Source organism: Homo sapiens, chromosome 18 (assembly GCF_000001405.40).
Source record: "Homo sapiens chromosome 18, GRCh38.p14 Primary Assembly".
Lineage (NCBI taxonomy): Eukaryota > Metazoa > Chordata > Mammalia > Primates > Hominidae > Homo > Homo sapiens.
In genome coordinates, this window is record NC_000018.10 from 42702997 (window position 1) to 42712903 (window position 9907).

Sequence of the window (9907 nt, forward strand, 5' to 3'; positions counted from 1 at the left end):
TCCATTATACACAGGATGAGAAAATTAACTGTAAAAATTCAAAAGACAGTATTATCTAATAAAAACATATTATGATTAAATAGGATTTAGCCAGTTTTCTAGATGGTTAACAATAAATTACCATACTAACTCTTATCATGGCCTGTAAACCTTGCATAATCTGGCACCTGCCTATGCACTTCAGCTTGATGTGTGTCTTTCTCCATTGTTCCTAGATTCTAACCACACAGATTTCTATTTCTTTCTATGGAGCATCAAGCTCTTAGTTGTCTCACAGCCTTTTTGCTTATAATTTCCTTTTCCTGGAATTATTTTTCAAAATCTTTCCTATTGACTATATTTTCCTTCTCCCATCTCATGTTGAAGACTTGCCCTTCAGAGAGAACTTTCTTGACCACTCTCTCTCAGAGAAGCCCCTCTGTCTACCTTCCTTTCCAGCAACTATCTGAATATCTTTCATGCTATTCGTTTATTTGGGCATCAATTCCCACTTACTGAAGCACAGGCTGCCTGAAGGCAGAAACCTTCTTTGGAATATAGGGCTGGACCACAGGACTCACTATATATCTTTACATAAACTTCACAAATCATGAAGGGGAGCATGAACAAGTTATTTGGTACCTCAGTTTCCTCATCTACTACTTGGCCTAATAATCAATGCCCTGCTTACCTCAAGGGATCTTTATAAGAATTCAGTAAGATAGAGAAATATGAAAATTTATTCTGACATGGGAATAGATATTATTTTTATTACTATTCTTGCTCTATTATCATCTTAGCTGTTATCACCATTTGAAAAATAATCAAAAACTGCACAATAAATTTTTCTCCTAGTTCTTGTCAGCATCGTTTATGCGAGGTGGGTCATACGGCAGCTGGGATGTTGTAATCATTTCTAATGTTCTCTCTTCAGGGACATAGATATACCATTCACTACTTGCCTGAAAAGCAAGATTATTACTGTCGTATTTTTCCATCACTGAGCTGTGCCAAGGATGTTTATGTCTGTTTTGTTGCCTTGTAAACAGATGAACAAGATCCAAAAGGAGAACCATGGTGGCTGTGCTGGGATAAAGGGCTGGCTTGCTTTTTAAAAGCCATCAATAAGAAATATGAGGATGCATGAGGACTGGTTGTAAATGGAAGACATCTATCTGAGACAGAAGAATCTGTCCATGAATACAGTGGGCTTTCCCTAAGCCAGCAATAAGAAGAAATGGGTGTAAGGCACAGGAGACACATCAAAGCATTATTTTTTAAGAAAGTTGAAAAAAATCACATCTTTAAAGAGGATTCCCAAGATAGAATTGTTTTCAAAATTTTCTGTTTGGTCAATGTTGCATGAATTTCTCATGGATTAATTATTGATTTAACTTGAAATATTAATGAGAGTACTCAGTAGGTACCATGCCTTTTTCTGGAGGCCAAAGCATAATCAATCATGCTTCAAACTTCAAGTACAGAAAATGGCACAAACCTATTGCATATACCTTTAAGTACTTTGTAGTTTAGCAAGTGGTTTTGTGTACATTACCTTATTGGACTTCCAGAATAAATTCTGGAGGCATATAAAACAATCAAACCAAAGTTATCTAGGCAAAATGACTTCCTCAAAGTCATTCAGTTAATAGATTGTGTAGCCTAGATGTAAATCAGGTCATCTGCCTCTTAAATCAGTGCTCTTTTCAATCCATCACACAAGTGCTTGTTATCTCAAAGTGGGTGGCATTAGTAGCTATAACACAGGCCATGATGTAGTGTTTTCTGTGTGACAGCCACACATCAAGTGCCTGGAGAAATAAGAGGTTACCTGGAGGAATGAAGTAAGAAATTACCTGGAAGGCATGGCATTTCTACAAAGACCAAATAGATGAAACAGAACTTCTGCCAAGAAGGAGCTCACGACCTTCTTGGTGCTTATGATATAGTTGGTATCTGAAATCATTGTAAAGCTGGCAGCATAAACAGCACTAGGACTACAGAGAAAATAAGATGATATCTGAGAAAGTGCCAATGAGAATTACAGTTAATAAAGAAAGAAAAATAGGCAAGAGCTATAAACAGGAAACCTTCATGGCACTGTAACTTGGAGAACTGGCCACTTGAATTGGCAGGTTGTCTGTATTATAGGATGGGCCACAGCATCACAGGCTGTCAGATCAAAGGTCTTGGGGTTGAGCAGAGACCTCAGTGGAGTAGAAACTGGATTGAGGATTAATAATAGCTATTTCTTTAATTATCATTTGGTTTCTCCTGAAATAACCACGCTAAAAAGAATTAACCAAATAAACTTTATGATTCTCTAGTATGAGGCTAGGTTTAATTACTACATTTTAATGGCTTTTCACATTGTCAGGTACCTCAGGCTGGTTTTAATACCATCAAGTGGGAATTTATAGTGGATAAGGTCTTCGGATATTGTCAAGTTTTCTCTAAAGATGCTACTATCTAGGTGGCTATGTGAATACAGACTATGGTAGTCAGTATTTAAAATATTATTTTTTTCTTCTAAATACAAAATAAATAGATGCCATTATAGAAAATTTAGATAGCAGTGACATTAAAATACTTTTTAATGTTAAATTTTGGATATATAACCCCACTTAAAATTTTAAAGTACTAAGTTTTAATTTTTTATTATTTGTATATTGTATTTACATACTTATTTGTATTTTTGTGATTATAATTATATATGACATATATATGTCATATATACATATATGTAATACATATACTATTACATATATATGACATATATAAACATGTAACTCATATGTGAGGCATATGAGACACGTGTATGAAATGATTTTATGTCATATAATTATAATCACATGTATAATTTTATGTATAGAAAAATTACCTATTTATATTATATATAGTGTGTGTATGTGTACATGTATACATATAAACAGAGAGACAGCACATTTCACTTACATTGTCATTATACTATGTATACAGTTTTGTGTTCTACTTTTCTCCCCACATAACAATTGTGAAAATTGGAGTGTATTATGTAACCCTATATATTAACCTCATCTCTTTCATCAGTCACCTTCTCATAGGCATTATTGCAAAGGAGGGTTTGCCAGACAACTGTGCCTGAGTCAGTTCACTTTGCAGATGATTTTTGCACTGCTTGCCGCCCTCTTGATTCCACTGTTTTCTCTGTGGAGGCTCCATAACTGGGAATCCAGGGAAAATTCTCCTGATCCAATTTAGCCACCACTGTGCTGACCTCACCAAAGGTGTCATGCAGAGAAAAGTATACCCATCGATGGCCCTATCTACAAATTATACTAAACACCACACAATGAACTGTGCGTGCTTGTACAATCCACTTTCCTAAAGGATGGAGAATGATTAGAGGTGATTAAGGCTCAGGGCACAAGAGGTAGAGTGGAAAATAACCTGGATGCTGAATAAGGCAATTCCTGGAATCTAAGGAAAAGAAAGAAAAATTAAAAGCTTTCTGCATCCGCTATTGCATTGATTTGCTACACTGTCTTAAAAATATACTCTCTGACCCTGCTACTTCCTCAAAAGGGCACAATACCTTTGAAGCAGCTACAGTTGTCTGGGTAAATAATCAGGGTTCTTCTGGTGCCAGGAGAGTTTAGGACACGGACACACACGAGTTTAGGAGCAGGGGTTTAATAGACAAAAGAAAGAGAAAGAAAAACAGCTCTCTCTCTCTAGTGAGAGAGAGGGAACTTGCAAGAGGAAAAGGCTGGCTGGTGGTGAATGTGCTGGATTTTATGGTCAGGTTTGAGTTGATGGTGTCTGATTTGCATAGGGCTCACCGATTGGTTTGAGGAAGTGTGACGCTTGCATAGGGCAGGGAAGGCTGGTCACCCTACCCTGATCTTATTATGCAAATGAACTTTCCCAGGCCTGTGCCATCTTGTCTGCTCCTTACTGTACAGGTGGCTGACAAAGACAAGGGAAGGTGGAGCCGCCGTCTTGAACATGTCTAGTCCTTAGTTCCTGCCGTCATTCACCCGTGCAAGCTCCCAACTTGCTTGTCTATGTCTGCAGCTCAACTTTACAGGCTACTCTTTGTTAGAAAATGATTTGAGGCTGCTTTTCATTAAAAGGAAAACCTTACGGAGGATTTCCATACCCTCACTATCTGCCTAAGTAATTCTTAACTCCTGTATCACCTTCAGACATCATATTTCCCACAGTCTGTGCTGTGTATTTTCAGAAATACACACTTTGAAGTGGTTTTTGAAGGTTCAGATGAAGAAGGGTCAGTGTATGTTTCTCAGAAGACCAGCTCTGCCTCAGGGTAGTGAGGGCCCACATCTGGTACACTGTGAGATCTTTGCCAGTGTGAAAACATAAGCCTTTGCCTTTCTCATATTTCTCCAGTCTTCATGTGGGAAAAAATTAGATGAAAGTCACCTAGATACATTTAGGCACATGGACACATACACACACTCCATACAAATAATAATTCTCACATCAAGGACAAATCTAAATACATTTTGTAAGATGCATTTTTTTCTAATGCAAATAATCCATACAGCTTCCCCTACTCATTATGTAGAAAAAGCTTTACATGGTTCTGTAGAAAAGTATCAGATATCATCTCTTCTACTTCAAGACACATCCAGGGCCTACTGATTCATAAGAAATGAAGCCTAGTAACTATAATCGTGAAACAATCAGTGATACCTCCTGAAATTTCAGTTTTTCTTTACCTTGAGATAGAAAAATGTCTTAAGCATGACATGTTTCCTTTCTGAGTGCCATTATTTGCTTAATTACTCCACAATTGTTGACTCTTCATGTTTTCATCTCTCTTGTCTATAAACCTATCAACATTTAAGGATTCTTTCACTTGCTTCACAAACAAACAGAAATGTTGGAGTGTATAATAAGCTAAATGGCAAAAACAATGAACAAACTTTCGACAAGCCTAGATTCTGATCTTTACTATTTTGTTAATGACCTGAGGATCATTGGACAAATCACCTAGACTTTATGTACTTCAGGCTAGCTCTTTTCAAAATTATGGAGAAAAGCAAAGCAGTCTTTAAAATCCCTTCAAACACTAGTCTATGTCTCCAGAAATATTTGAATCAGTAACTCCTAGCTTTGACCCAGATTATTTCCAAATGCTTTGAACTATCTTTGATATGTAACAAATTATCAGCCATAAAGGGAATTGTTTTTGATTTTAAGTAGAATGGCATCTGCCAGGGTTATTTAAGACAAATAGCAATTGTTTAAAGTAAAGGAAGGGGAGATAATTGTGGAAAAGTTGGTTATCAGTGAGTGCCTTACTGACCTCGATCATTACATAGATGACCCTCTGTAGGCTTTCCACCACTTAACATTCATTATTGAGCTTCTGTTATAAGCTAGGCACCGTCTTAGCACAAGGGATCCAGTAGTAATCAAAACATAAAGGTCTCTATGACAGAGATGTTAAATTCAAGGCTTAATCATTACGGAATAGACCAAGAGCTTTGTCAGTGCCAAGCTAGGGAAAGTATAATGCCCTGGTGTGGGGGGAGGTGTGAGAGTTTAGTCCTTATGTGGAGATTGAGGGAGGACAGGGTGCAGAAAAGAGGAAGAAGATTCTTTCTATTAAAACAAAGTAAAAACTTGTCTAGCCCAAGCCTGAATAGATTTTATACTGCTTGCCTCGTTTTTGTCAAGAAACCTGGCCTGAGCGATCTCACCTCTTAAAATATCTCTAAGTTACTCAACTTTTTGACTACATCCTAAAATTCTGACTAATGAACTTTGGCCTCTGTCACTATTTCTTCCTTAAAAGCCTTCTAAGTAGCTCTCAGATTTCAATCTGAGGGAAGTAATGCTAAAAGCCTTCCAACATGCTAACCTTTCATTTTCAGCAACTATCCTCTCCCTTAGAGCAAAGATTACCTAAGATATGGCACTCATGTTGAAATCCAGACTGTGAATGTATGCTCCTCCAAAGCAAAGTGTAGGTGTACTATCATTTCTATTCAATATTAAACTGTTTCCAGACCACCATTGCCTTCACCAAAAAATGACACAGTAGGAATTATAGGAATAATAGATTAAATTTAAAATAATTTAGATTTGAGAAAGATGAGGAAAGAAATCAATAGTTAAAAAGCACATGAAATGACAATCTGATAAAAGTGAAACAGATGCAGATCATAATATCCTAATATCTAGTCAACTACTATTACCACAGATTGGGTAAATTGTGTTACATCTCTGCACTTTAGTATCTTCATCCATGAAATGAAACAGATCAGAAAATCTCTAGTGTCTAAATATATCTTTCTGGTATGGTTTAAGCAATCTTATTGAAAGCAGATAATCCCTTGGCTTTTCCAGAGCCACAATCCTCTAATTCTTACTTTTCCTAGGATGTTTTAATTCTAGAAATAAGAAAGCTAAGATGTGAATTAACCACTTTTTTTATAGGACAGGAATACTTATATAGTAAATACAGGATTTTTTCAAATACCTGAGCAAGGAAAACATGGTTTAAGCTTTTGAAGCAGAAGTGTCTTGATCGCAGAGAAAAGGAAAGGGCTGCCAACAAAGATAGTTAAGAATATAATAGACAAATAAGAGTCTTAGATGTTTATTATTCATCTAATACAAAAGTATATATAGGGAGCTTCTGGTGATTTAAAAATTAATATTTCATACTCTTACCTTCAAGAATAGAATATGGCAGGTTATATGGTATGTCTCTTTTTATTATAAAAGGTGAAGTCTCTCTCTGTCTCTCTCTGTATCTCTCTCTCTCTCACTTTCACTCTCTCATCACCTGTTCTAAGGGATGCCAGCTTGTATGCCAAAACTGAGCTATAGTAAGGTCCATGTGATGAGGTGCTGAATTTGTCTCTGGCCAAAGGCCAGTGATGAACTGAAGCCCTCAGTCCAACATCCAGCAAGAAACTGAAGTCTACCTACCAACAGCCTCTTGATTGAGCTTAGAACTGAGCTGTTTTCCAGTCAAGCTTTCAGTTGAGATTGCAGCCCAGATGACAACTTGACTGCAACCTCATGAGAAACTTTCAGTACAAATCATCTATCTAAGCAACTTGCAGATTCCTGACCTACAGAAAATAGTAAGTAAAAGAAAATTATTTTTATGTACTAAGTTTTGAAGCAATTTGTTACGCAGGATTAATGCCAAAGTGAACCACAGTCCCTCTCGAAGGTGTCTTCCATTTCTTTGGTATCTCTATTTGCCACAAAGTAAACATACATTTCCAAGTGTGATCTCTAAAGTCCATTTTAACCTATTTCTTTCAAACACAACACAACACAACACAACATTTTAGAAAACACAACATTTCTATACATATTACCTGAGTTGCAGTCTAACTGGAACTAGACTTTTCAATGGAATTATGCTTTTAGAATGCTGAGGCTTGGTATGTAGTTTTTCCTTGGATTAAAATAAATAAAGAAAAACAAACAGCCCTTCCCACCAAACTATTCAGCTTTCAAAGCGCATCTCTTTTGCAGTATATCTTCAAGTTTAAATATACTAAGTCTGTCTAAAATGGAACTGCCTGAAATGGAGTTTGAGTTCTAGCTCTGCTCGTTAAAGTTGTGTGATCTCAGGCATGTAATGTTCTCAATTCTAAAAAATGTGGGTCATATTTTGCTACATTAAAGAATATATGGATTAAATCAGACAGTATGTGTGAAAACACTTAACGGTGCTTGATGTGTAGACATTAAGTAACTGTTTCTTATCATTATTATTGTTATTCTCTTCCTTATTCATAGAAGATCACTGTGTTTATTTAATTCAGATACAGTCTCTTCTTTTTAAAAATCTGATTGTACTTTTCTTGTTTTTCTCTAAGGGCACTTATTATATTTATTACAATTCTTTCTACATTCTAATTATTTTATGCAGGGACAGTATATTTTCTCTCTTTCCTGAAGTGCCTTACATATAGCACAAAACTATAAGGAACACCATATGTGTTTGTTGAATCAAGTCAAACTTTAAGCTTTAAAATAGTTTTTTAAAGTAATATTGGCTTCTAAATTTTTTCCTAATATCTGCAACTCAGATGACTCCAGGTAGATGGATATTTATCATATTCTTAATATCTCCATTGAAAGATTTTCTGTTCCTACTAAGAGTAATGAGCATCTTAGGCTTTATAGTTAGATGTGATCTAACTGTAGAGCACACCAAGCCAGTCCTTTAGTTGAGCAAAGTTTCTTCGCCTTTATTTCAAGTCAAGATATTGAAACTCGCTTTCAATTCTAACTTCTGAAAGTCACACTTTCCTTATATATCATTTGTCTTTTGTTTAGGTTTAATCTGCAGGTAGACAAAGAGACTGACTTTTTAGTACTCCAGTCATTATGTACCTTTCTGGTCTGTATAATAAAAAGGCATTTCCTTTTGGGCCAAATAAAATTGACTTTTTAAAATACTTGATTTGGTTTCTTTCCTTCGATTTTACAACTCGAGAAATCTGACATGTGAATTTAATGATTCACATAAAAGCCTAGTATATTCATACAAAAACTACTTTTATGTGTGTTCTGGTTCCTGAGAAGACTGAAAGCGTATGTGCTAGTCTGAGAAACAAAGAGAAAAAAAAAAGACCATTTGAAAGGCAGTAAAGGTTTATTTTACATCCTAGTTGCATTTATGCCACTAGCTGGGATTACCTTAAAATCTTTATATATATATATATGTATACACACACACACACACACACACACGTATGATACACATATATATGATAAAAAGCAAATATACACATATATAATAAAAAGCAAAGTAAAAATGTTTTTGTCCCTAGTGAATTGTGTTGTTTCTTAGCCACATAGGTGTATTGATAAACTATATTAAAATCATAAATTTTTTGACAGCTAAAAGAGAGCATGGGAATGATCTCATCTAGTCATTCCTAATCTGGGATTTCTAAAGAGCTATTTTCAAATATTTTTAAAGCCTAATGTAAACTATCCAATGATCTATTATATAAATACACAATAAACTATTTCACAGAATATTCAGATCAAAGGAGTGAAAATAACAATAGAAGATGTTTGACCTGGTATTTTCTTGCCCTGTTTTTTTTTTTTTTTTTTAACATAAACAAGGAAAATGAGCCTTAATGGTTTATTTTCTCAGGGTAACTCAGAACGCTTGTGTCAGGACTCATAAGCCTTTTGCAGATTTCCATTTAGTATTCTTATCTTACCTTCTGACTACAAATCATTCTGAGACTGAACTAATTGTCTGTGGTCTCACTGGTAAGAGCCTTATGGCTCTATAAATGGGCCAAATAGTACCCAGGTAAAAGCTTTCAGAGAGGCAGACTCTTACTTTAGTTGCTGGCTTCATGCTTTCATTTTTGAAAGTCTCTGTGATGGCCACTGCCTTCTGTATTTTGGATCTGACTTCTTTGGATCTCTGTGTTATACCTGTGCTTTCTGTGCAATTAGAACCTGTCCAGTTTTGGTCCCACTTATTCACATTAAAGATCATTATGACAATATTATTGTAATAATAACATATTTACTGAACATCTACTATGTAATAGCTATTTTATTAAGTACATTAGACACATACTTCATTCAAAGCTAATAACAACTCTGTGAGGTTCCAGTAAGATTTATATAATTCAAGTATTTGACCATGCTCGCTTAACTTCTGAGTATATCATCCAGGGTTATTATTTAGGCATTATGGTTATAAAGCTGGTGTATTCTCAGTCCAGAATGCAAAAAACTTGGATGTCAAAAAATCGGGTCTTTTTTTGCCCAAGTGGGAGCTGCAAGCTAGTCCTGCCTCCTATCTTCCATCTTAGTCTCATTGTCCATTTGTGTTTATATAATCAAGATCAAGTTTCTTATAATTAAAAAATAGATAAAAATTATTCTTATCATTTTCTCACTCAGACTTTCC